The sequence below is a fragment of the Homo sapiens genome, chromosome 12 (genome assembly GCF_000001405.40).
Source record: "Homo sapiens chromosome 12, GRCh38.p14 Primary Assembly".
Taxonomy (NCBI): Eukaryota; Metazoa; Chordata; class Mammalia; order Primates; family Hominidae; genus Homo; species Homo sapiens.
The window spans coordinates 121,172,465-121,200,157 of NC_000012.12; the positions used below are offsets into that span (position 1 = coordinate 121,172,465).

The 27,693-nt window shown below is 45.3% G+C and overlaps 1 protein-coding gene and 1 long non-coding RNA gene across 17 annotated transcripts in view, besides 1 other annotated feature; one reads left to right on the top strand and one right to left on the bottom strand.

The window, feature by feature from the left end:
* Window positions 1-15,568, top strand: part of P2RX7 (purinergic receptor P2X 7) — a 55,157-nt gene extending 39,589 nt beyond the window's left edge. For 8 of the 13 annotated variants that reach the window (NR_033949.2, NR_033955.2, NR_033954.2 and 5 more), the window contains 5 exons: window positions 2,924-3,014; window positions 4,683-4,748; window positions 4,833-4,982; window positions 7,890-7,991; window positions 11,841-15,568. Coding sequence is in view for 4 of the 13 variants with exons in the window: in NM_002562.6 (NP_002553.3) it covers window positions 2,924-3,014; window positions 4,683-4,748; window positions 4,833-4,982; window positions 7,890-7,991; window positions 11,841-12,338 (907 nt within the window). In the remaining 9 variants the exon portion in view is untranslated. Of the gene's footprint in view, window positions 1-2,923; window positions 3,015-4,682; window positions 4,983-7,889; window positions 7,992-11,840 lie in introns of all 13 variants that reach the window. The other 5 variants (NR_033948.2, NR_033950.2, NR_033951.2 and 2 more) reach the window with 1 other exon arrangement.
* Window positions 1-27,693, bottom strand: part of LOC105370032 (uncharacterized) — an 84,641-nt gene that overhangs the window by 47,033 nt on the left and 9,915 nt on the right. The gene's annotated exons all lie outside the window — the stretch shown is intronic.
* Window positions 17,464-17,964: an enhancer, noted in NCBI's record as "H3K4me1 hESC enhancer chr12:121627731-121628231 (GRCh37/hg19 assembly coordinates)". NCBI's record gives its function as "activates a minimal SCP1, AML or CMV promoter by ChIP-STARR-seq in primed H9 embryonic stem cells {active_cell/tissue: H9 hESC(primed)}" and the evidence as "EXISTENCE:reporter gene assay evidence [ECO:0000049][PMID:30033119]".

Below are 27,693 nucleotides of genomic sequence, written 5' to 3' on the forward strand. Positions count from 1 at the left end.
ATAAAAAAATTTTAAAAATTAGTCGGGTGTAATGGTTTGCACCTGTAGTCCCAGCTGCCGGGAGGCTGAAGTGGGAGGATGACTTGAGCCCGGGAGGCGGAGGCCACAGTGAGCTGTGTTCAAGCCACTGCACTCCAGCCTGGATGACAGAGCCAGATCCTGTCTCAAAAAAAACAAAAACAAACAACAACAACAAAGATAAATCACTCAATACATCAGCAAGAGAAAAAGCTCTCTTGAAATAGTCACATGCAAAGAAATTGAATTCCCTCCAGTCAGAAAGAGCCACTAAAGTGCCTGAGAATATCTGATCGATTTCAATGTCAGGTTTTGAGAGGTTTTTTAAAAACAGTTTCAGATGTTTCTTACTATTTTTTGGCAGAACATCTGCCATCTGCTTTCTTCTCTCCCTACATCTTGTAACTAGACGGTGAATTAATAACTCAGAAAAAATAAACATGTATATGTAACTTTATCTAAAAAGAATCATCAAAGTGTGGTGAGAAGAAGGGGCAGATTTAAAAGTTTTATGAAGCGTTCATTTTAAGCCTCCTTAATTATTCTTGAAAAACAAAACACACCACTTTTCCTGACTGCAGCACTGGTGAGGGTTGCATATCACGGGTGACTGTGATGATTTGTGCCTGGCGCTTAATTTTTAAAGTTAGTACTGAGTGATGACAGAGAGAGGTCAATGCCACTCAAAGAATATTTTGTTTGTTTGTTTGTTTGTTTGTTTGAGAGGCAGTCTTACTCTCTCACTCAGGCCGGAGTGCAGTGGTGTGATATCGGCTCACTGCAACCTCTGCCTCCTGGGTTCAAGTGATTCTCCTGCCTCAGCTTCCTGAGTAGCTGGGATTACAGGCGTCTGCCACCACATCCAGCTAATTTTTGTATTTTTAGTAGAGATGGGGTTTCATCATGTTGGCCAGGTTGGTCTCAAACTCCTGACCTGAGGTGATCTGCCTACCTTGGCCTCCCAAAGTGCTGGGATTACAGGCGTGAGCCATTGCACCTGGCCAAGAAGAATTTATTACATACTTTTCCCAAGAGATGGGGCCACACCACACCATACCAGGCCATACCAGGCCATGCCATGCTAGACAGGGCCACAGGAGGAAGTACCAGATCCGCTCAAGAGGCAGAATAAAGGGTAAAGAATGGTCCAGAGCTTTATTGTGTTACTCAGTGGAAGGGCAAGGCAGGACTAGGGAAACAGCTTAGGGTTAACTACTTTGAATAATGCCAGTAGGTTCTGAGTTACAGGAATGGTCTCTAAATGTCTGGCCCTCACCCTACCTGTCCCTAAGGAGAAATACTGGAGAGTTAGAAAAGGAGGTGGTTGAGGGATTGGTTGGAGGGTTTGTAATATGATTTTCACACCCTCACAAAAGCTGGATTGCAGAGGAGATGTAAACAACTTCAGCCTTGGGAGGCCAAGATGAAAGGATGGCTTGAAGCCAGGAGTTCAAGGCTGCAACAAGCTATGATTACACCACTGCACTCCAGCCTGGTTGAAGGAATGAGATCCTGATTCTACAAAACATTTTTGAAAAAAACTTTTTTATTTTTTCTTTTCTTTTCTTTTTTTTTTTTTTTTTTTGAGACAGTCTTGCTCTGTCACCCAGGCTAGAGCGCAGTGATACGATCTCGGCTCACTGTGACCTCCATCTCCTGGGTTCAAGTGATTCTCGTGCCTCAGCGTCCTGAGTAGCTGGGATTACAGGTGCCTGCCACCATGCACGGCTAATTTTTGTATTTTTAGTAGAGATGGGGTTTCACCATGTTGTCCGGGCTGGTCTTGAACTCCTGACCTCAAGTGATCCACCCGCCTCGGCCTCCCAAAGTGCTGGGATTACAGGTGTGAGCCACGGTGCCCGACCAAAAAATTTAAAAATAAAAATTAGCCACCTGTAGTGGTGCACGCTTGTAGTCCCACCCAGCTACTTGGGAGGCTGAGGTGGGAGTATCACTTGGGCCCAGGAGGTGGAGGCTGCAGTGAGCTCTGATCATGCCAGTGCTCTCCAACCTGGGTGACAGAACAAGACCCCACCTCAAAACAAAACAAAACAAAAAACACAACTTCAGCCTTTAGTTTGGCCCTGTGATTAATGATTGCCAAATAGGCATACACAGAATCTAAGAAAATACAGTTTGCTGAGGTGTGCCTGTCTCCAGTCCAGTAATTAGTATGCAAGATTTACCACCGCCCACTCCCACTTTGTTCTAGATGCCAAACCTCTTCTTCCCCCTTAAGGAATAGTCATATTGCTTGAAGTTTTTTTTTTTTAATTTCTCTGCTTGTTGTTAATCCTGTGTTGGTTTAAAATGTGCATTTTAATCTTAAGCGACAAGCTGATTTTCCGTCACTCTGAGATGATGCAGGTACAGGTGGTGACATGGGGAGGGGGGACTGCTCTTTGGTTCCAGGTGGTTGGAGAGAGACCCAGGGCTTTGGATTGTGTTCCTTCCCCTGCCACCTGTCACAGAGCCAGGGGACAGACCAGGAGGACTAGACAGGCCACTGTTTTGGCTTTTCCTTCCATAAAATACCAGCATTTTTTGCCAGATGCAGTGGCTCATGCCTGTAACCCCAGAACTTTGGGAGCCTGAGGCAGGCAAATCACTTGAGCTCAGGAGTTCGAGACCAGCCTGGGCAACATGGCAAAAGCCCGTCTCTACAAAAAATACAAAAAATTAGCCGAGCACGGTGGTGCATGCCTGTAGTCCCAGCTACCTGGGAGACTGAGGTGGGAGAATCATCTGAGCCTAGCAAGTCAAGGCTGCAGTGAGTGGTAATCCTGCTACTGCACTCCAGCCTGGGTGACAGCGTGAGACCCTGTCTCAAAAAAAAAAAAAAAAAAACCCAAAACCCAGCACTTTCAAAGGGATCTTACAAATACAGATCCTTTTCTTCCTACAGATACGCCAAGTACTACAAGGAAAACAATGTTGAGAAACGGACTCTGATAAAAGTCTTCGGGATCCGTTTTGACATCCTGGTTTTTGGCACCGTAAGTCTCGTTTCCCAGCTCCGGGCACCGGCATCCTATGACTGTGTCCTAATTACTGCTGTGGGGCCTCCATGGAGGGAAGGGTTTTGGTCTCAGCCTTCAGCTAGCACTGGGCATTTCGCACATGGGATAAAAGAGGAAGAAGATGTTCTCGGGCTGCTGTCCCTGAATGAGTCATCTGACGAGTACAGGAGTGGGCCTGGAAAGCAATTCTAACATTCGGCTTTAAAAATACTCTGATACTTAACAAGAGAGAGAAAGAAATCTCTCTGTAAAATAGTTTGTAAGTAACAGAATCCAATTCAAATTGGCTTAAGGGGAAAAAAAAAGTTTTGAGTGGGCTTTTTTGGGTTCACGTAACTGAAAAAATCCAGGGGTTATTTTTAAGCTACAAGCATGGTTGGATCCAGGTGTTCAAACAACAACATCATCATCAAGAACTTGCCACCTTCCGTGTCTTATATACGTCCTCCTTGGTCTTGGCAGCCATCTCTCTATGAAGGTATCAGGCAGCACCTTCGATCTGACCAGTTTAGCAACCTCAGTGAAAAGAAAACACCTCTTTGCCAGAAGGTTCAGCAAAGGTCTCAGACAAATGTCATTGGCTCTGATTGGCCCACTATGGATGACATGCCCACTGCTGAACTAATCACTGTGACCAGGGTCATGCCATACTCCCAGTGGTTAGTGTCGAACCAGCCCTAACCTAGCCCAGGGGCCAGCAGAGAGGCCAACACCCCAGCCCCTTCAACACACACACACACACACACACACACACACACACACACACACTACATGGACTGAAAAGAAAATTGGAGTGTTGCCTTCTGAAGATGGAAGGAAAAGATGCCAGCTATGCAAAAATCAACATATCCCACGACATCCTGTCCAAGAGCATGTTATCTATGTAAGACAGTGATAAGCAGGACTAGAAGCAATAAGATATAGCTGAGAGAATGCAAAGACCGCTGGGAATAAAAACCACAAGGCTGGGCCGGGCACGGTGGCTCATGCCTGTAATCCCAGCTCTTTGGGAGGCTGAGGCAGGTGGATCATGAGGTCAGGAGCTCAAGACCAGCCTGGCCAACATGGTGAAACCCTGTCTCTACTAAAAATGCAAAAAATTAGCTGGGCGTGGCGGTGGGTACTTGTAATCCCAGCTACTTGGGAGGCTGAGGCAGGAGTATCTCTTGAACCCAGGAGGCGGAGCTTGCAGTGAGCCGAGATTGCGCCACTGCACTCCAGCCTGGGCAAGAGTGCGAGACTCTGTCTCAAAAAAAAAAAAAAAAAAAAACCCACGAGGCCACCCAGACATTCCTTCCCTCTGCTTCTGAAGTAATGTCAAACCTTTTGGAGGAGAAGCTTGTCTGAAACCCTCACCTTGTATGGAGAAATGATAGCCCTTCAGTGGGTCTCCCCTTAATGTGTGGGCCCCAGTGCTTGCTCATGTAAAACCTTTATGGGTCCAAGCACACCCTGCACGGCTGAAGCAGGATGCCTGAGAGTCAGTTTCAGTCTGCGTAGTCTCTGCCTCAGCCAGCACTTGAACGCATCTATCCAAGTCACAGCATGAGGCTCCGCTCCCTGATAGAACCAACAATTGCACGTTGAAGCAAAAGAGCGTTGCTCTGAATTTCACCTGAGTAAACTCTCCCACTCTGTTTTTAGGGAGGAAAATTTGACATTATCCAGCTGGTTGTGTACATCGGCTCAACCCTCTCCTACTTCGGTCTGGTAAGAGATTCTCTTTTCCATGCTTTAGGAAAATGGTTTGGAGAAGGAAGTGACTAACGCAGCGCTTGTCTGCATTCTCCCCAGGCCGCTGTGTTCATCGACTTCCTCATCGACACTTACTCCAGTAACTGCTGTCGCTCCCATATTTATCCCTGGTGCAAGTGCTGTCAGCCCTGTGTGGTCAACGAATACTACTACAGGAAGAAGTGCGAGTCCATTGTGGAGCCAAAGCCGGTGAGGCCGCTGTGTTCACAGGACACCAAGACATGGAGAGATTCCATGAAATCACTCAGAAATGCACGAAAATTAGGCCCAAATCACAGGCTTCATCCTGTAGTGGATACGTCGCTGGGTTCTACCCCGATCAACCAACTCTCAGATAAATTTTTTGGTCTTAGAGAAGAATGGAAACAAAAATGGAGGGGCAAGATAGAGGGAAGGCAAATTTTTATGTCTAGGACTTGCCAATTTTGTCATTTATTTATTTATTTATTTATTTATTTATTTATTTATTTATTTATTTTCAGATGGAGTCTTGCTCTATCACCCAGGCTGGAGTGCAGAGGCATGATCTCGGCTCACTGCAGCCTCTGCCTCCCAGGTTTAAGTGATTCTCCTGCCTCAACCTCCCAAGTAGCTGGGACTACAGGGGCACACCACCACACCTGGCTAATTTTTGTATTTTTAGTAGAGATGGTGTTTAGCTATGTTGGCCAGGCTGGTCTCAAACTCCTGACTTCAAATGATCCACCCACTCGGCCTCCCACAGTGCTGGGATTATAAGTGTGAGCCACTGAGCCCAGCCTGTTTTGTCATTTATTAAATTGGTATAGCCAAAAAAGAAAAAAGAAAAGAAAAATAACAACTTTGGAGAACAATTTGGCAGTGACTAATGTTTAAATGGGACATACTTTACAGCCTGGCATTTTCAGTTCTCCATACCTGCCCTAGAGAAACACTCACATGAGTACCCGCAGTACATGAGTACAAGATGTTCAAAGCAGGATTGTTTATTAAATTATCAATAATATATGATTATTAACAGTGAAGAAATAGCATCTAACCAAATATCCAACAGGTGAATGGTGAAACTATGGTAAATCCATAGAAAGGAATACCAGGCACCAGCTTAAAAAAATGAGATAGATAATAATAATGGCAAACATTTACACAGCACTTCTAAATGCTTTATCTATTAACTCAATCTTCACAACAACCTGATGTAGACAGATGCTACTATTATCTCTTTCTATATATGAGGAAATTGAGCCACAGAAAGGTTAAATAATTGGCCCAAGGCTGGGCACAGTGGCTCACGCCTATAATCCCAACACTTTGGGAGGCCGAGGCAGGCAGATCACTTGAGGTCAAGAGTTCGAGACCAGCCTGGCCAACATGGTGAAACCCCATCTCTACTAAAAATACAAAAATTAGCCAGGCGTGGTGGTGCATGCCTGAAGTCCCAGCTACTTGGGAGGCTGAGGCAGGAGAATTGCTTGAACCTGGTAGGCAGAGGTTGCAGTGAGCTGAGATCATGCCATTGCACTCCAGCCTGAGTGACAGAGGGAAACTCTGTCTCAAAAAAAAAAAAAAAAAAAAAATTATAGGACTTGACAAGAGCAGATCTCCAAGACATTTTGTTAAAAGAAAAAAAGCAAACTGTAGAACAATATATGTTATATGATATATAGGTTAAAAAAAAATCACTAGACACAGAAGCTAATCTGTATATTTTCTGCATGTATATTCTATATATACACAAGTGTACACACACACACACATACATATACATATGTGTGGGTGTATATATGTACACAAAATTGTACCAGTGGCTGCTTCTGGAAAGGAGCTTAGGGTGGGGGAGTAGGAGTAGTCAAAGAGATTTTAGCGTCATCTGTATTGTTTTGATTTGATTAATTCAGACTTTATCAAGCAGGTCCTCTGCGTTCAACTCCATGATTTTCCCCAAAGATAAATCTCTGGTACCTAAAAACAAAGACGATTGGCTAGACGTGGTGGCTCACGCCTGTAGTCCCAGTACTTTGGGAGGCCAAGGAGGGTGGATCACCTGAGGTCAGGAGTTCAAAACCAGCCTGGCCAACATGGAGAAACCCCGTCTCTACTAAAAATACAAAAAATTAGCCAGGCATGGTGGCGCATGCCTGTAATCCCAGCTTCTCTAGAGGCTGAGGCAGGAGAATCGCTTGAACCCAGGAGGTGGAGGTTGTGGTGAGCCAGGATTGCGCCATTGCACTCCAGCCTGGGCAACAAGAGCGAAACTCCGTCTCAAAAAAAAAAAAAAAACAAAGACGATTTCTTTGTCTTTCCCTCATCCAAGAACATGATTGTCCTGTTCCAGCAGCTGATGCATAATTCACTGTCCATTGTATATGCATTCACAATTTGAAATAAAAGTTCATCTTTGCAGCTAAAACTAATCACCACTTCATGGCCCAAGATGAGATGAAATTTAACAAACATGTAAATAATTTAAGTTGCAATAGTACAAATTTCTGGAGATACTGAATCTAGAGTTACTGAAATTGACAGAATACAACAAAGAAATTTTATGCAGCAACTGGGGGGTCCAATGTAAAAACATTAAGCAGTAAGCTGTGGCTGTGTTGAATTTACAAGTTAAGATGCATGGGGTTCCGCCTGGCGTGGTGGCTCACTCCTGTAATCCCAGCACTTTGGTAGGCCAAGGCGGGCGGATCAACTGAGGTCAGGAGTTCAAGACCAGCCTGACCAACATGGAGAAACCCCGTCTCTACTAAAAATACAAAATTAGCTGGGCATGATGGTGCATGCCTGTAATCCCAGCTACTCAGGAGGCTGAGGCAGGAGAATCATTTGAACCTGGGAGGCGGAGGTTGCAGTGAGCCAAGATCATGCCATTGCACTCCAGCCTGGCAACAAGAGTGAACTCCAACTCAAAAAAAAAAAAAAAAAAAAGCATGGGGTTCCATTTCTGATTTATCTTTAGACTCAGAAATCATTAATTCTTGGTTAATGAGAGTTTTGAGCCAGCTTGTTCAATAGTCTATCATTTGGCAAATAGGAATTACAGTTGCCTTTAGATAGGCAATTCTTGATAATTCTGTACAAAAATGGGTAAACTTTCAAACCATCTTTTCCTAGACATTAAAGTATGTGTCCTTTGTGGATGAATCCCACATTAGGATGGTGAACCAGCAGCTACTAGGGAGAAGTCTGCAAGATGTCAAGGGCCAAGAAGTCCCAGTAAGTTAAATCATTTTGTCTTTTTTTTTTTTTTAAGAAAATTTACTGTTAAATATAAACACATCTAGAAACTTGTACAAATCAAAACTGATGGATTTTAACAAAGTAAACATACTCATATAACCGGCACTCAGATTAAACAATTGAAAATTACTAGCAGGAGTCCCTTTTATGCCCCCCTCCAATCACTACCCTCTCTTTCTCCTTTTTTAATTTTTAAAATTTGGCTGGGCACGGTGGCTCACACCTGCAATCCCAGCACTTTGGGAGGCCAAGGTGGGTGGATCACTTGAGGTCAGGAGTTCGAGACCAACCTAGCCAACATGGTGAAACCTCGTCTCTACTAAAAATACAAAAATTAGCCGGGTGGTGTGGTGGCACACATGTAATCCCAGCTACTCAGAAGGCTGAGGCAGGAGAACTGCTTGAACCCAGGAGGTGGAGGTTGCAGTGAGCCGAGATTGTGCCATTGCACTCCAGCCTGGGTGACAGAGCAAGACTCCATCTCAAAAAAAAAAAAGAAAAAAATGTATATTCTTAAATTACAAACGAGGTCTCACTATGTTGTCCAGGCTGGTCTCAAGCAGTCCTCCCACCTCAGCTGTACCAAGCCCACCAACTGCCCTCTCTTAAAAGTAGTCATTATCCTGTTTCCAAAGATTAATTTTACTTTGGCTAGAATTTTCTAAAAACTGAATCACGTAGTATGTAAGCGGTATATACGCGGTTGAGTGTCTGGCTTCCTTTACTCAACATTATTTTTGTGAGAGTTGTTCATGATGCCATGTATAGTTCATTCTCATTGTATAATTCTGTTTTATAAATATCCAACTTATTCAGCCATCCTACTGTTGATGGACATTTGGGTAGTGTCCAGTTTGGGGCTAATGCCAATAACGCTGCTATGCTCAACATATGGCACTCTACTGGACAGTTACCTAAGAGTGGAATTGCTGAGTCATAAGGCAGACATATGTTCGGTTTTAGGAGATACTAACAAACGGTGCTGAAAAATGGTTGTTCACATTTGCACTCTCCCCAGCAGTTCTGGTTGCTGGGCATCTTCAATTTCCTAGGGCTGAATTACCACAAACTAAGTGGCTTAAAACAACAGAAATGGCCAGGCATGGTGGCTCATGCCTGTAATCTCAGCACTTTGGGAGGCTGAGGCAGGCAGATCACCTGAGGTCAGGAGTTTGAGACCAGCCTGACCAACATGGAGAAACCCCATCTCTACTAAAAATACAAAAAAATAGCCAGGCATGGTGGCGGGCGACTGTAGTCCCAGCCACTCAGGAGGCTGAGGCAGGAGAATGGCATGAACCTGGGAGGCAGAGCTTGCAGTGAGCCAAGATTGCACCACTTTGAGAGGCCAAGGTGGGCGGATCACCTGAGGTCAGGAGTTCAGGAACAGCCTGGCCAACATGGCGAAACCCTGTCTCTATTAAAAATACAAAAATTAGCCAGGCGTGGTGGTGCACACCTGTAATCCCAGCTACTCAGGACGCTGAGGTGGGAGAATTGCTTGAACCTGGGAGGCAGAGGCTGCGGTTAGCTGAGATCACACCTCTGCACTCTAGCCTGGGCAACAGAACAAGCTCCATCTAAAAAAAAAAAAAAAAAAGTCTTTTCTGCTCCTTTTGAAATATCAGTGAGTTTTCTTCTTTTTTTCTGTTAGTTGAATTGTACTGATTGATTTTCAAATATTAAGCCAAACTTGCATTCCTGAAGTAAACTCAATTTGAATGTGTTGTACTATTCTTTGTATTTATTGCTGAATTCCATTCACTAATATTTAGGATTTTTACATCTCTTCTTGAGAAAGACTGACCAAAGTGTTTCCATTCTTGTAATGTTCTTGTTGGATTTGTGTATGAAGTGAACTACAGTCATGCATCACTTAATGATGGGGATATGTTCTGAAAAACGCATCAGTAGCTGATTCTGTGGTTGTCTGAATATCATGGACTCTATTTACACAAACCTAAATAGAATAGCCTATTATACTTAGGTTATATGGTGTAGTCTATTGCTCCTAGGCTGCAAACCTGTACAGCATGTTACTGTACTGAATACGGTAAGCAACTGTAACAGAATGGTAAGATTTGTATATCTAAATATAGAAAAGGTACAGTGAAAATATGATATAAAAGCTTAAAAATGGTACATCTGCATAGGGCACTTACCATGAATGGAGCTTGTAGGACTGAAAGTTGCTCTGGGTGAGTCAGTGAGTAGTGAGTGAATGTGAAAGCCTAGGTTGTTACCGTGCACTACAGTAGACTTCATAAACACTGTACACTTAGGCTACACTAAATTTACTTCAAAATATTTATCTTTCTTCAATAATAAATTAATCTTAGCTTACTGTGACTGTTTTACTTTATAAATTTTTAAATTTTTTAAACTCTGTACAGTGGTATAAAAATATTTTCTTTCTCACCGGGAGTGGTGGCTCATGCCTGTAATCCCATCACTTTGGGAGGCCGAGGCAGGCGGATCACAAGATCAGGAGATTGAGACCATCCTGGCCAACATGGTGAAACCCCATCTCTACTAAAAATACAAAAAAATAGCCAGGCATGGTGGCAGGCGCCTGTAGTCCCAGCTACTCGGGAGGCTGAGGCAGGAGAATGGCGTGAACCCAGGAGGCAGAGCTTGCAGTGAGCCAAGATCACACCACTGCACTCCAGCCTGGGCGACAGAGCAAGACTCCATCTCAAAAAAAAAAAAATTCTTTCTCTATATCCTTATTCTATATACTTTTTTCTATTTTTAACATTTTTTATTTTTATTTTTACTTTTTAAATATTTTTGTTAAAAACTAAGTCATGGCCGGGTGCAGTGGCTCACGCTTGTAATCTCAGTACTTTGGGAGGCTGAGGTGGGTGGATCACTCGAGGTCAGGAGTTCAACACCAGCCTGGCCAATATGGTGAAACTCTGTCTCTACTAAAAATATAAAAATTAGCCGGGTGTGGTGGTGCGCGCCTGTAGTCCCAGCTACTCAGGAGGCTGAGGCAGAAGAATCGCTTGAACCCAGGAGGCGGAGGTTGCAGTAAGCCAAGATCATGCCACTGCACTCCAGCCTGGGAGACAGAGCAAGACTCCATCTCAAAAAAAAAAAACAACAAATACACACACACACACACACACACAAAAACCATTTCCAATAGTGCTAAGTCCTATGAAGAATGTGGAATACCACAGTGTGATAAGGGAATCATGTGGGAGAAAAGCTGCTAGATAGGGTGGTCAGGACAAGAGGTGACATCTCAACAGAGGCCTGGCTTTTCTGAATTTCATTTTCCAAAATCTGTAAAATAGGCCAGGTGCAGTGGCTCATGCCTGTAATCCCAGCACTTTGAGAGGCTGAGGCAGGTGGATCACCTGAGGTCAGGAGTTCCAAACCAGCCTGGCCAACATGTTGAAATCCTGTTTCTACTAGAAATACGAAAGAATTAGCTGGGCATGGTGGCATGCACCTGTAATACCAGCTACTTAGGAGGTTAAGGCATGAAAATTGTCTGAACCTGGGAGGTGAAAGTTGCAGTGAGCCAAGATCACACCACTGTGCTCCAGCCTGTGCGACAGAGTGAGACCCTCTCTCAAAAAAAAAAAAAAAATCTGTAAAATAAAGACAAGGATACATTATCTCACAAGCGTCTTCAAAGGCCTGAATGAGGCAATGCTTACAGAACACATGCATGGTCCTGATATCTACACCTAATAAATGACGGCTACTATAAATCATGTAATATTAAACGTAACTTTATAAGTTAATAAAATTAAAGAACCTAGAACCTGAGGGCTTGTCATGGCTAATAGGTTTGGAAACTTGCTTTTTCAGAGACCTGCGATGGACTTCACAGATTTGTCCAGGCTGCCCCTGGCCCTCCATGACACACCCCCGATTCCTGGACAACCAGAGGAGATACAGCTGCTTAGAAAGGAGGCGACTCCTAGATCCAGGGATAGCCCCGTCTGGTGCCAGTGTGGAAGCTGCCTCCCATCTCAACTCCCTGAGAGCCACAGGTGCCTGGAGGAGCTGTGCTGCCGGAAAAAGCCGGGGGCCTGCATCACCACCTCAGAGCTGTTCAGGAAGCTGGTCCTGTCCAGACACGTCCTGCAGTTCCTCCTGCTCTACCAGGAGCCCTTGCTGGCGCTGGATGTGGATTCCACCAACAGCCGGCTGCGGCACTGTGCCTACAGGTGCTACGCCACCTGGCGCTTCGGCTCCCAGGACATGGCTGACTTTGCCATCCTGCCCAGCTGCTGCCGCTGGAGGATCCGGAAAGAGTTTCCGAAGAGTGAAGGGCAGTACAGTGGCTTCAAGAGTCCTTACTGAAGCCAGGCACCGTGGCTCACGTCTGTAATCCCAGCGCTTTGGGAGGCCGAGGCAGGCAGATCACCTGAGGTCGGGAGTTGGAGACCCGCCTGGCTAACAAGGCGAAATCCTGTCTGTACTAAAAATACAAAAATCAGCCAGACATGGTGGCATGCACCTGCAATCCCAGCTACTCGGGAGGCTGAGGCACAAGAATCACTTGAACCCGGGAGGCAGAGGTTGTAGTGAGCCCAGATTGTGCCACTGCTCTCCAGCCTGGGAGGCACAGCAAACTGTCCCCCAAAAAAAAAAAAGAGTCCTTACCAATAGCAGGGGCTGCAGTAGCCATGTTAACATGACATTTACCAGCAACTTGAACTTCACCTGCAAAGCTCTGTGGCCACATTTTCAGCCAAAGGGAAATATGCTTTCATCTTCTGTTGCTCTCTGTGTCTGAGAGCAAAGTGACCTGGTTAAACAAACCAGAATCCCTCTACATGGACTCAGAGAAAAGAGATTGAGATGTAAGTCTCAACTCTGTCCCCAGGAAGTTGTGTGACCCTAGGCCTCTCACCTCTGTGCCTCTGTCTCCTTGTTGCCCAACTACTATCTCAGAGATATTGTGAGGACAAATTGAGACAGTGCACATGAACTGTCTTTTAATGTGTAAAGATCTACATGAATGCAAAACATTTCATTATGAGGTCAGACTAGGATAATGTCCAACTAAAAACAAACCCTTTTCATCCTGGCTGGAGAATGTGGAGAACTAAAGGTGGCCACAAATTCTTTGACACTCAAGTCCCCCAAGACCTAAGGGTTTTATCTCCTCCCCTTGAATATGGGTGGCTCTGATTGCTTTATCCAAAAGTGGAAGTGACATTGTGTCAGTTTCAGATCCTGATCTTAAGAGGCTGACAGCTTCTACTTGCTGTCCCTTGGAACTCTTGCTATCGGGGAAGCCAGACGCCATTTAAAAGTCTGCCTATCCTGGCCAGGTGTGGTGGCTCACACCTGTAATCCCAGCACTTTGGGAGACCAAGGCGGGCGGATCACTTAAAGTCAGGAGTCCAAGACCAGACTCGCCAACATGGTGAAACCGTATCTCTAATAAAAATACAAAAATTAGCTGGGCATGGTGCGGGCACCTGTAGTCCTAGCTATCAAGAGGCTGAGACAGGAGAAACACTTGAACCTGGGAGGTGGAGGTTGCATTGAGCTGAGATCGTGCCACTGCACTCCAGGCTGGGTGACAGAGCGAGACTCCATCTCAAAAAAAAAAAAAAGAAAAAAAAAATGTCTGCCTATCCTGAGACTGCCCTGCTGTGAGGAAGCCCAAGCAGTCACGTGGACAGTGCCTGACCAGCCCCAGCTTTCAAGCCATCCAAGCCCAGTCACCAAACATGAGAGAGAAGAAGCCTTCAGGTGATTCTGGACTCCACTAACATATGACTGATACCGCATGATACATCCCAAGTGAGAACTGCCCCATAAATCCAGAAAACCACATTGCTATCTTAAGTCCCTAAGTTTGGGGCTTATTTGTTCCACAGCAACAGGTAACTGGAACAGAGGGCAAGCCTGATGAATGGGCACACAGACTCAGCCCATACCTTCCCTGGTTCTAATGTTCTCAGGGAGCCCGGACCAACCCTGGGAGCCTCAGGAACTTAGGTTTCCACTGGACAGTTCTAGAAGGGCTATAGACCAAATCAGGTAACTCACCAGACCAGCCTTGGAATCTATCAAATCTAACTGCTGAGCTACCCAATGCATTCCGATCCTCATCACAATTCTTTGACTGAAGGCCGGGCGTGGTGGCTCACGCCTGTAATCCCAGCACTTTGGGAGGCTGAGGCGGGTGGATCACCTGAGGTCAGGAGTTCGAGACCAGCCTGGCCAACATGGTGAGACCCTGTCTCTACTAAGAATACAAAAATTAGGTGGGTGTGGCGGTGGGCGCCTGTAATCCCAGCTACTTGGGAGGCTGAGGCAGGAGAATCTCTTGAACCTGGAAGGTGGAGGTTGCAATAAGCCGAGATAGTGCCACTGCACTCCAGCCTAGATAACAGAGCAAGACTCTGTCTCAAAAAACAACAACAACAACAACAAAACAATTCTATGACTGAAAGTGACTAAAAAGCTGGCTTTATGCCATTAACACTCTGTACTTTGCAGCCAATCAGAACTGACGCAGTCTGGGTGCTAGCTGCTTCAAAAGCAACCCACACCACACTTTTACCATTTCCATACATCAACTGCTGAGAATATGAAAATGCACAGTGACAGGTTTTAGGATCCTGCTTCAGGATTTCCTTTTCCTGGTTTGGTCACTAGAGTTGGCTATTTATCTGTTTCTAAACAATAGCTATTTTATCGAATAGTTTAGAGACCACTATTAAATATTGTGACTGATGAAGGATCTGTGAATTTTTTTATATATGTTCTAAGAGTTACCATTTTGATACCTTTTAAAAACCAGCAGCTTTCTACTATATTCATGTAAGACAGCATGAATAAAACCATTTTTTGATACAGGGTTTTATTTGGCTTTAAACTCAGGAACCAAGTTAATTATGCCAGATTGAACTTTGATTTTTACTACCTTTTCAAAGATATTTTAAAAAGTGGATTACTACATATGATTTCTTTGGAGCTTACATTTCTTTACTTCACGAATTCTATGTCACTGTTACAAGTTTCCATTCTGATGGCTTCTGGGCCTTTGTACCTTTGTTTTTGGTGCCTTATTCCTAGTATGTTTCTATCACCTTAATGAGGCCGCAGATGGAGTCAGAATGTGAAATTACAAATAATCACTGGATCCATCTACTGTTTTCCATCACCTTCCCCACTGATGCTCTGGGCGAGAGAGTGATGTGTCACTTCAACTGTGTGTAATATGTCAGACACGTCCTACAATAACAGGCGTCATATTTGTATTATTTTTAGTTTACTGTAGAAAATAATGTCACCGCCAAAGGTGATGAGAGTCACGTTTTGTAGGATCTGTTTTCTTATACTTAAAGACAGACTTCTGCTACGGTAATTGCCAGTATTCATGGCTTCCTTTCTGTGTCAGAAGAGAAGGGATCTGCTTTCTCTTGGCTGATTTCACATAGCATTGGTAATAGACATGCATTTCTCTTTCTAAAGGGGAGTAACTTTTTAAACCCTTCCTGATTTTAGCCTGGCAATGTAAGTGTCCTTAATGTGACTGTTTTGATAATTAAAAAAAGGTATATAATTTATTTAAATCTTCATTTCCTTTCTTTTCAGAAGGTCCCCAAATCACAGTTAACTCATTCATTGACGCATTCACTCAACAACTATTCAATGAGGCACTCTCTAGAGACCAAGGATAAATAAGGTAGCCAGTCTCATAGAGATATGAGGAGATGGAAATTAATCAAATAATTCAAGCAAATGGCATCTTGCAACTTGTGCTGAGTATAATGGTGAAAAGGCAAATGATGGCATGAGAGCTTATAGTAGGGAAATTTGGCCTATTTGGGGAGATCAGCCTACCTGAGGAAGGAATGTTTTAGCTAAAATCTGAAGGATGAGTATTACTTAACTAGTGAATGCGGGAGGAAAGAGCATTCTAGGCAGAGAACAGTATGTGCAAAGGTCCTGGGGCAGGAAAAGCAGAGCAGGTTTATAGAACTTAAAGGAGAACTGTATGACTGTGCCATAAAAAGTACAGAGAAGTAAGGCATGAGTTACGGTTGGACAAGCAGGCAGGGGCTAGGCTGCCTGGAGCCTGTGGGCCATGGTAGAGTTTGTCTGTATCCTAAGACCTAAGCCACATAAGGGTTCTAAGCAGGAACCTGGTAAGATCACATTTAATTTTAATTTTTTTATTTTTATTTTTATTTTTGAGATGGAGTCTTGCTTTGTTGCCCAGGCTGGAGTGCAGTGGCTCAACCTCAGCTCACTGCAACCTCTGCCTCCTGGGTTCAAGCGATTCTCCTGTCTCAGCCTCCCAAGTATCTGGGATTACAGGCGCCTGCCACCACACCCAGCTAATTTTTGTATTTTTAGTAGAGACAGGGTTTCTCCATGTTGGCTAAGCTGGTCTCGAATGCCTGACCTCAAGTGATCCACCGGCCTCAGCCTCCCACAGTGCTGGGATTACAAGTGTAAGCCACCACACCCAGCCATATTAATTTATTTTATTTTATTTTATTTTATTTATTTTGAGACAGAGTTTCACTCTTGTTGCCTAGGCTGGAGTGCAATGCCACTATCTCAGCTCACTGCAACCTCCACCTCCTGGGTTCAATCAATTCTCCTGCCTCAGCCTCCTGAGTAGCCAGGATTACATGTGTGCCACCATCACGCCTGGCTAATTTTTGTATTTTTAGTAGAGACGGAGTTTCTCCATGTTGGTCAAACTGGTGCCGAATGCCTGACCTCAAGTGATTCACCAGCCTCGGCCTCCCAAAGTGCTGGGATTACAGGAGTACGCCACAGCGCCCAGCCACCAAATTAATTTTTAAAGATCACTATGATCGCTGTGTGGAAAATGAGCTGGGAGTGGTGGTGGATACAGTTTTTGTTTTTGTTTCAGTCTTTCCCTACTCCATGAAACATTTGCGCTATATATGCGGCCAAATGGAATGTTTCTCTTTTCTCCCCTCCTCTTCCTCTTGGGAAGTCACCAAAAAAAAAAAAAAAGAAAAAAAGAAAACAAATCAGCAGCAAGAGAAAAGGACGAAAAGCTCTGGTGGCCTTGAATTTTGGAATGGCCCCTGTCCCAAGCTGGCAGGGATGAGGCTGTGTGTTGAGCTTCAGATCACAGGAAGGAGTGCACCAAATCAGGAGATGAAGGGCAGTCAGCAGGACCCACTGGGTACCCACCGTGCAGTGTAAGGCCTAAAATTAAGCTCTAATATGAGGTGCTGCTTTGACATCAGGTGAAATCAGGAGTGCCTCACCCCAAGTTTCTCTCCCAGTCCTCCCTTGGCAAAGGGCGCCCAGTGAAACAGCCTTCCTTATCAAAAAGACCAGATGCAGTTCCTGCTAATCCCTGAGCGGCAGGTGTGAGTCTCCTGCCAACCCACGGAGTTGTCCAAATGAGCCAGTCACATCCTCCGGGGAACCAGGGCCTCCTCACCCTCTTGGTGCTACAAAGCCTGCCCCGCACTGGCCCTGGTTGTTCACTCTGTTTCTGTGTGGCCCTGCACGGCAAGTGGGGTCTTCCTCCCCGAGCTGTGAGTGTGTGTGACCAAAAACTGCTGCCAATCTCATTTGCCCAGTGTTGGGTGTCATGTGTTCAGCTACCGCCATAACCCTGGGGTGGGAACTGGGAATCCCTCCCTCACCACTGAGGTAAAGAGGTTATTAAAACATCCCTACTTCAGCTGGGTGCGGTGACTCACGCCTGTAATCCCAGCACTTTGGGAGGCTGAGGTGGGTGATCACCTGAGGTCAGGAGTTTGAGACCAGCCTGGCCGACATGGTGAAACCCTGTTTCTACTAAAAATACAAAAAATTAGCCAGGCGTGGTGGCGGGCACCTGTAATCCCAGCTACTTGGGAGGCTGAAGCAGGAGAATTGCTTGAACCCGGGAGGCAGAGGTTGCAGTGAGCCACGATCACACCATTGCACTCCAGCCTGGGCAACAAGAGCGAAACGCTGTCTCAAAAAAAAAAAACACCCTAATTCCAGGCCAACCAGCAGCCCTAAAAAATTAATCTTCGTTTGGCTTCTACCAAAAGTCATGGTCTACACAAAGCCCTGCCTACTAGAGGCAATAAGGAACCATGACCACCACCCCCATTTATTCAAATTACCCACTGGAATGCACCGAGTGGGGTTTCACCCTCTGCTGCTTGTATGTTTCTCAACCCATGTTCTAATCCCATGCAGTCATCATTCAGGAATCCCTGAGGATCCCCTGATTCAACTTCTCTTTTTTGAATAGATTAGAAATTCCTATCTTCTTTCACTTTTACTGTGACTTTTCAGCTTCCTGTTTTCCATTCCTGAGGGCTATGAATCATATTTCCAAAATAAATGATGATCTATGGAGAGGATTTTGCATTTCCAACATCCTTAGCTAATTTTAATGAATTATCATGGTCACATGATCCTAAGGCTTCAGGAATCGGAGGAAGTGGCTGACACTGACTTACCATTTTAACCAAACAATCACTGCACTTAAGCTTGGATAAGGGTCAAATAAAACTAACAGGGCTCTTATGCAAGCCCTTCCAGTCTGGTAAGTTATGAGTATTTATGTTTTATTTCCCCCCAAAAACAATAAGACCCTCAGAGGCAAGGAACTCATCTTGGTTTTTGTCCCTTACACACCTATCTCAGTCCAGTGGTATGATGGGCACTGGAAACAAACCACCTGGTTCAAATCCTGGCTTGGTCACTTATTGGCCAAGTGGCCTGATATGGTTTGGCTGTGTCCCCACCCAAATCTCATCTTGAATTGTTAGCTCCCATAATTCCCATGTGTTGTGGGAGGGACCTGGTGGGAGAGAATTGAATCATGGGGGCGGTTTCCCCCATATTGTTCTCGTGGTAGTGAATATGTCTCACGAGATCTGAGGGTTTTATAAGGGGTTTCTCCTCTTGCTTGGCTCTCATTCTTGTTTTGCCTGCCACCATGTAAGATGTGGCTTTGCTCCTCCTTGCCTTTGTCATGATTGTGAGGCCTCCCCAGCCCTCCCCAGGTGACACATTGGAACTGTGAGTCAATTAAACCTTTCCTATATAAATTATCCAGTCTTTGGTATGTCTTTATTAGCAGTGTGAGAACAGACTAATACATGGCTTTGGGCAGCTTCTCATGTCTAGCCATGGTAGCTATTCTTATGATTTGGATGGTGCCCAAGCATTGCTCTCGAGCTCCAGGCCCATATATTTAACCACCTCCAGATATTCTATACTTAAATGGTTTAGAGGCAATTCAAACAGCTACAAAAGACAAATCATGATCTCAGTTCACCCCACCCACATGTGACTTCCAGAGCTCCCAAGATCAGCCAGTAGCACCACCTGCCATCAGTTCAACTTCCCAAGCCAGAAATTCAAAGGATACCTTGATGTCTCCCTTCTCCTTCCCCGTTCTGTCCAATCTCATCTGTTCATTCAGCAAACACTTACTGAGCACCCCAGCACTGTACAGGAGCTAGGGATGAACAGGTGAATAAGAGAGGCTCTTTGGGAGGTTAGGTGCAGTGGGGCAGACAGGCAATCACGGTGAAAAGAAATGCAGTGAGGACAGCTTGGGATACAGAGTTTGAAAGAAACAAGCAGGATGCTGTGATAGGAGCAAGGGAGTTACTTCTGACAAGGGGCAGGGATAGTGTCTCCAAGGAAGTGACATTTACACTAGATCTGAATATCAAGAAGGAGCCAGCTGTAATGAGTTGAAAGAAGGGCATTCCAGGAAGAGGGATGGAAAACATAAAGCTGAGGGGTGAGAGAGAAATAAGAGTGTTCCAGAGCCTGGTGCAGGAGCACACACATGTAGTCCCAGCGACGAGAGATCATCCCTTAAGCCCAGGAGTTTGAGGCCAGCCTGGGTAACATAGTAATAATCTATCTCAAAAAGAAAAAAAAAGAAAAGAAAAGAAATGAGTGTGCTCCAGGACCTGTCAGATGGCCAGTGCAACTATGCGGTGAGAGACACAGTCTTGCTTGTTTTCTTACTGCCTCCTAAACTGGGTGGTTCCATCTCACTGAAACAGACGCTCAAAGAAAGGCGAAATTCACAGGCAAGCACAGCCTTGGGAGGGTTATGAAGCTGGTGAGATGTAAGCGGGCCCTCACTGGAGGAAGGGGCTGGAAACAGTGGGATGAGAGGAGGCATTCCCAACAGGACCAGCAGCACAAGCCAGGCCCAGAAACAAATGACTATCATAGTGGAGGGAGATTAAATGGGACTGATTTGGGGAAACCTTCAAAAAGAAAAAAAGGCTGAGATGTTTGAACCAGTTGCAAAGTTAAGATGGAGCCGTTCTTGGGGCTGACAGAGGACATGAGAAAAGCAGTGACTTAAGAAATCCCAGCCGGGTGCAGTGGCTCACGCCTGTAATCTCAGCACTTTGGGAGGCCAAGGCGGGCGGATCATGAGATCAGCAAGTGGAGACCATCCTGGCTTACACGGTGAAACTCCGTCTCTACTAAAAATACAAAAAATTAGCCAGGGGTGGTGGCATGCACCTATAGTCCCAGCTTCTCGGGAGGCTGAGGCAGGAGAATCGCTTGAACCTGGGAGGCAGAGGTTGCAGTGAGCCAAGATCGCTCCACTGCACTCCAGCCTGGGTGACAGAGCGAGACTCCTTCTCAAAAATTAAAAAAAAAAAAAAAATCCCTCAGACCGACATGAGGACGTGGGATGGGAGGGGAAGCCTGGGGAAGTGACATCATTTAGAAGTCAGCTGGGATTATATAGGAGTGACTCAGTAAGCCACCTGTGCTACTGAATTGGTGGTGGTGATAGAAAGAAAAGGAAGAGAGATATATATATATGGGGGGTTTTGTTGTTGTTGTTGTTTTTTGGTTGTTGTTGTTTTTGTTTTTGTTTTGTAGAGATACGGTCTCCCTATGTTGCCCAGGCTGGCCTTAAACTCCTGGCCTCAAGCAATCCTCCCGCCTGGGCCTCTCAAAGCTCTGGGATTATAGGTGTGAGCCATCACCCCCAGCCTGGCTAAATGAATTTTTAAAAATTCCTCTGAGTCCAACAGGAGGAGATTGGTTAAGTAAATTATGGCACAGTCATATAACAGGAGGGTATGCAGCTATTTTAAATGATGCCATAGCAAGATAGTTAATGGGCCAGGCACGGTGGCTCACACCTGTAATCCCAGTACTTTGGGAGGCCGAGGCGGGTGGATCACGAGGTCAGGAATTCGAAACCAGCCTGGCCATGTGGTGAAACCCCGTCTCTACTAAAAATACAAAAACCAGCTGGGTGTGGTGGTACGCGCCTGTAGTCCCAGCTGCTCAGGAGGCTCAGGCAGGAGAATCACTTGAAGTCGGGAGGCAGAGGTTGCAGTGAGCCGAGATCATGCCACTCACTGCACACCAGCCTGGGCGACACAGCAGGACTCCATCTCAAAAAAAAAAAGAAGGAAAATCCGATTGATAAAAATCTACATTTACAAAAAAAGTAAATGGGAGGGGCGAGAGTAATTTTTCTTTACAAAGGAGTTCATAAGAAGATAAGATTCCTTCAAGAACATCTGAATGAAATTGTAAGAACTGAGTCCTCCTTTTCAGGAGCTTGTCTATGGAAGAGGCACAGGGATGCGCAGACCCTGGCTGTGAGAACACTTTAGAACTCTTCTTCGTTTCCTTATTTGCAAAAGAAAAGGATTAGGCTAAGCATGCTCTCTAAGGTACTTTTAAATTTTTTATTTATTTGATTTATTTGATTTTTTTGGAGACAAGGTCTCACTCTGTCACCCAGGCTGGAGTGCAGTGGCATGAACACAGTTCACTGTAGCCTCAATCTTCTGGGCTCGACTGATCCTCCTGCCTCAGCCTCCCAAGTAGCTGGGACTACAGGCACATGCCACCATGCCTGGCTAATTTTTTATGTTTTGTAGAGACGAGGTCTCACCATGTTGCACAGGCTGGTCTCAAACTCCCAGGCTCAAATAATCCTCCTGACTTGGCCTCCCAAAGTGCTGGGATTACAGGCGTGAGCCACCACACCCAGCCTGTAAGGTACTTTTAATCTCAAAATGTGAGGATGGGATGGGCACGGTGGCTCACACTTGTAATCCCAGCACCTTGGGAGGCCGAGCTGGGTGGATCACGAGGTCAGGAGTTCAAGACCAGCCTGACCAACATGGTGAAACCCCATTTCTACTAAAAATACAAAAATGAGCCGGGCATGGAGGCGGGCGCCTGTAATCCCAGCAACTCTGGAGGCTGAGGCAAGGAGAATTGCCTGAACCTGGGAGGCTGAGGTTGCAGTGAACCAAGATCACGCCAGCCTAGGTGACAGAGCCAGACTGTCTCAAAAAAAAAAAAAAGTGATAATGATAATAATCTCAAAATGCTCTCTCCATTGTATAAGATGAGACCAATTTGTACCTGACAAGTGCTTGGCAAACCACCCGTAGGTGTCAGTGAATGTACTGCATTAGCTAAGGCTGAAGTCCATACTCTGGCCTCGAAGGCCCTACTCGATCTGGCCTCTGACTGTCTCTCAAGGGGTTAGCTCACATCACTCTCCTCCTTGCCCACTATGCTCCATTCATATTGACTTTCCTTCTGTTCCTGGAACATATCAAGCTCATTCCTACCTCAGGGACTCTGCACCTGCTATTCCCTTTGCCTAGAATACTTTCTCCTAGGAAAAGTATTCAGAGAGCTAGCTCCTTCCTGACATCCAGATCTCAGCTCAGATGGACTTTCTCAGAAAGGGCCTCACTCAAGCTATCAAGCTATCAGATATAGAAGGTACATTCTTTTTTTTTTTTTTTTTTTTTTTTGAGATGGAGTCTCACTCTTTCGCCCAGGCTGGAGTGCAGTGGCACAATCTCGGCTTACTGCAACCTCTGCCTCCCGGGTTTAAGCAATTCTCCTGCCTCAGCCTCCCAAATAGCTGGGATTACAGGCGCCCGCCACTGTGTCCGGCTAATTTTTGTATTTTTAGTAGAGACGGGGTTTCACCATGTTGGCCAGGCTGGTCTCGAACTCCTGACCTCAGGTGATCTGCCTGCCTTGGCCTCCCAAAGTGCTGGGATTACAGGCATGAGCCACCGTGCCTGGCCCATACATTCTTTTTTAGGATGCACAAGGAAGGGTTATAACAACAGATATGCATTAGATCATGTATTTTCCTCAATACATTCCCAACAGCAATATGATACAGACCAGGTTCTCTAACCACATTTCAAGGAAATTAGAAATTCATTTTCTTTTTTTTCTTTTTTTTTTTTTTTCATTTGAGACAGAGTCTCGCTCTGTCGCCAGGGCTGGAGTGCAGTGGTGCAATCTCGGCTCGCTGAAACCTCCACCTCCTGGGTTCAAGCAATTCTCCCTACCTCAGCCTCCCGAGTAGCTGGGATTACAGACGCCTGCCACCATGCCCGGCTAATTTTTGTATTTTTAGTAGAGACAGGGTTTCGCCATGTTGGCCAGGCTGGACTCGAACTCTTGACCTTAGGTGATCTGCCTGCCTCAGCTTCCCAAAGTGTTGGGATTATAAGCGTGAGCCACCACGCCAGCCAGAAATTAATTTTTAAGAGGTAGATTTTTAAAATATTTGGAAGCTGATTGAAATATTGTAAGAAATATTGCTAAATGACTCAATAGAACTGGATAATGAATGTAATATATGTCAAAATCGGTGGCACACAGCTAAAGCAGAACTTTATTTTCATATTTATATTATTTTTATTTTTATTTTTATTTTTATTTTATTTATTTATTTATTTTTGAGACGGAGTCTCACTCTGTTGCCCAGGCTGGAGTGCAGTGGCACGATCTTGGCTGACTGCAAGCTCCACCTCCCGGGTTCACACTATTTTTATTATTATTATTATTATTATTATTATTATCATTATTATTATTATTTGAGCTGTAGTCTCACTCTGTCGTGCAGACTGGAGTACAGTGGCGTGATCTTGGCTCACTGCAAACTCCGCCTACCAGGTTCAAGTGATTCTCCTGCCTCAGCCTCCCAAGTAACTGGGATTACAGGTGTGCACCACCACACGCAGATAATTTTTGTATTTTCGTAGAGATGGGGTTTCGCCATGTTGGCCAGTCTGTTCTCGAACTCCTGGCCTCAAGAAATCTGCCCTCCTCACCTCCCAAAGTGCTGGGACTACCGGCATGAGCCACTGCGCCCGGCCAAATGGCAGATTTTGTCCAAATGGAAGGCTAAGGCTGACCCTAAGGCTAACCCTAACCTTAGCCCTAATGCTAACCCTAATTGGGTTAGGGTAAAATGACTAAAGGCAAGAGATAAGCATTCTGGATATTTCTTAGGGCAGGAAAGAAGCAACTTTTATCCTCCACTGACCCAAAGAAATTGACTGTACTTTGTCCCCCACTTCCCACTCAATTTCCTACTTTGATGCCCATTCCCCCTCCCCTTGTCCATCCCAAGCTTCACTCTGGAGACAGTAGCTAAACCTGTGCTAGTTAAACTTGACCCAGATCTGTTAGAAAAGAAGGGGCTATTGCAAGAAGCAGGGCGGCTTCAAAGAAAGCCAAAAGAAACTAACTGTACTGAGTCACCCCACTTCCCTCTCAATTTCCTATTGCCCAGAGAATGGAACTCATGAGATAGAAAAACGAGAAAAAGGGAAGCAAGTGAAGAAAGGGATAGGGCGCTACTCTCCACAAACACTTCCTGTTGGCTGTGCTGACATCACTGCATGCCATGTATCTCATGATTCGGTGTGTAGCTCACACACCTAACGCCTTAGACAACAAGAGCGAAAATCCATCTCAAAAATAAATAAATAAATAAATAATTGGGGAAATCTCAACAGAACATTTTGTGATTCTTATGTGGACTTAAAGGTTATTCTTATCCACCTCTAAAACAACTGAAAATGCAAAATGTTATAACACGTTGATAGTTTTGGAGTCTGAGGAGTCCTGCTTTCCTTCCTTCCCTCTTAGCGACCAATTATTATCTCTTTATTTTATTTTATTTTTTTAGATGGAGTCTCGCTCTGTTGCCCAGGCTGCAGTGCAGCAGCACAATCTCGGCTCACTGCAACCTCCGCCTCCCGGGTTCAAGCAATTATCCTGCCTCAGCCTCCTGAGTAGCTGGGATTACAGGCACCCACCACCATTCCCAGCTAATTTTTGTATTTTTAGTAGAGACAGGGTTTCACCATGTTGGTCAGGCTGGTCTCGAACTCCTGACCTCGTGATCTGCCCACCTCAGCCTCCCAAAGTTCTGGGATTACAGGCATGAGCCACCCTGCCTGGCTATCTTTTTTTAAATTATTTTTTAGAGACATAGTCTCACCATGTTGCCCAGACTGGCTTTGAACTCCTGGGCTCAAGCCTCCTGAGTAGCTGGGACTATAGGCTATGAACTATTATCTTATGGAGGATAAAGGGAGGCATAATGAACCAGAAAAATTTGCAAGGAGACCTCCAGAATGTTTTATCAGAAACAAATGAGTTTGAGCTTTTACTCAACTGTAAAATGGGATTCTGAGTATCACTCACGTGAAGGTGGTTTTCAAAAGATAAAATGCTGTTCAGAGCCAAAGAAACGTGCATTCTTGTTGTGTCAGATTTAGATCTGCTGGAGAATGCTTATTTAGCTAATAATCCAGTAATTGTTGAGGGATGGGAAAGACTCAACACTGTGTGTTTCAGAAAACCTGTCTTCACCAGAGAAAAAAGCAGATGGGTCTTCACAACGAGACAAGTTATATAAAAGGCACACTTTGTTATTTTGTTTTGATTCAAACTTTCAGGTAAGCTTGAAGGTGTCTGATACAAGATCACAAGAAATGTAGTTTTCTATTTTTTTTCACACTTTAAAAAAAAATTCCCCACGGTTTTTGTTTTGTTTTGTTTTTGAGACACAGTCTCACTCTGTCACCCACAGCAAGTGCAGTAGCGCGATCTCGGCTCACTGAAACCTCTGTCTCCCGGGTTCAAGCAATTCTCCTGTCTCAGCCTCCCACGTAGCTGGGATTACAGGTGCCCACCACCATGCCTGGCTAATTTTTGTATTTTTAGTAGAGATGGGGTTTCACCATATTGGTCAGGCTGGTGTCAAACTCCTGACCTCAGGTGATCCACCCACCTTAGCCTCCCAAAATGCTGGGATTACAGGTGTGAGCCACTGTGCCCGGCTGGTTTGGGTTTTTTTGAAACAGGGTCTTGCTCTGTCACCCAGGCTGGAGTGCAGTTGTATGATCTTAGCTCTCCACCTCCTGGGCTCAAGGGATCCTCCCACCTCAGACTCCTGAGTAGCTGGAACTACAGACATGTGCCACCACGCCTGGCTAATTTTTTGTACTTTTTGTAGAGATGGGGTCTTGCCATGTTGCCCAGGCTGGTCTTGAACTCTTGGACTCAAGGGATCTGCCTGCCTCGGCCTCCCAAAGTGCTGGGATTACAGATATGAGCCACTGCGTCCGGCCAGAAATAGGGTTTTGGAAGGCACATTTCCTGGAAAGCCTCCCTGCTTCTTGTAATAGCCCCTTCTTTTCTAACAGATCTGTTTCAGGGTTCTTTGTTTCCTTGGTTCCCCGACCCCCCACCCCCGCCGCCCCACTGCCCTGTAAAACTGTCTTTCAAGGAAAGTTTGAGTTTAACTAGTACAGGTTTAGCCATTCTCTCCAGAGTGAAGCCTGGTGTGGACAAGGGAAGGAGGAGAGGGTGTCAATGGCTTATAGAGTTCTGGCCTAATACAGCCTGTCATCAGCCTTCCTGAAGTCCATTGACTTAATCCTTCTGAAGGTGACCGACTCATCCTGTTTGGCCTCGACCTTCCCGGTTTTAGCACAGAAAGTCCCTTGTCCAGGAAACCTCTCAGTCCCAGGTAAATCAGAGGGCTGATCAGCCAAGGACTTACCTTCCTTGCTTCCGTCTGTAACAGATACAAATACACAGCTTGAGTGGGATTCAGATCACTGTAAGCTTTTTATTTTTATGTATTTATTTTTTTTGAGACAGAGTCTCGCTCTATCACCCAGGCTGGAGTACAGTGGCGCAATCTCGGCTCACTGCAACCTCCGCCTCCCGGGTTCAAGCAATTCTCCTGCCTCAGTCTCCCAAGTAGCTGGAACTACAGGTACGTGCCACCACGCCCGGCTAATTTTTTGTATTTTTAGTACAGATGGGGTTTCACTGTGTTAGCCAGGATGGTCTCAATAGCCAGGATGGTCTCAATCTCCTGACCTCATAATCCACCCACCTCGGCCTCCCAAAGTGCTGAGATTACAGTCTTTTTTTTTTTTTTTTTTTTTTTTTTTGGAGCCGAAGTCTCCCTCTGTTGGTTTAGTGGTGCGATCTTGGCTCATCGCAACCTCTGCCTCACGGGTTCAAGCGATTCTCCTGCCTCAGCCTCCTGAGTAGCTGGGACTACAGGTGCATGCCACCATGCCTGGCTAATTTTTCTATTTTTAGTAGAGATAGGGTTTCCCTATGTTGGCCAGGCTGGTCTTGAACTCCTGACCTCATGATCTGCCCACCTTGGCCTCCCAAAGTGCTGAGATTACAGGCGTGAGCCACCGCGCCTGGCCTAATCTAGCACTTTAAAGACAAATACTAGGGAAGAAAAGAGATTGATTCAAAGAATCATTCTGGTCAGGCGCGGTGGCTCACACCTGTAATCCCAACACTTTGGAAGGCCAAGGCAGGAGGTTTGCTTGAGCCCAGGAATCAAGACCAGGCTGGGTAAAACAGTGAGACT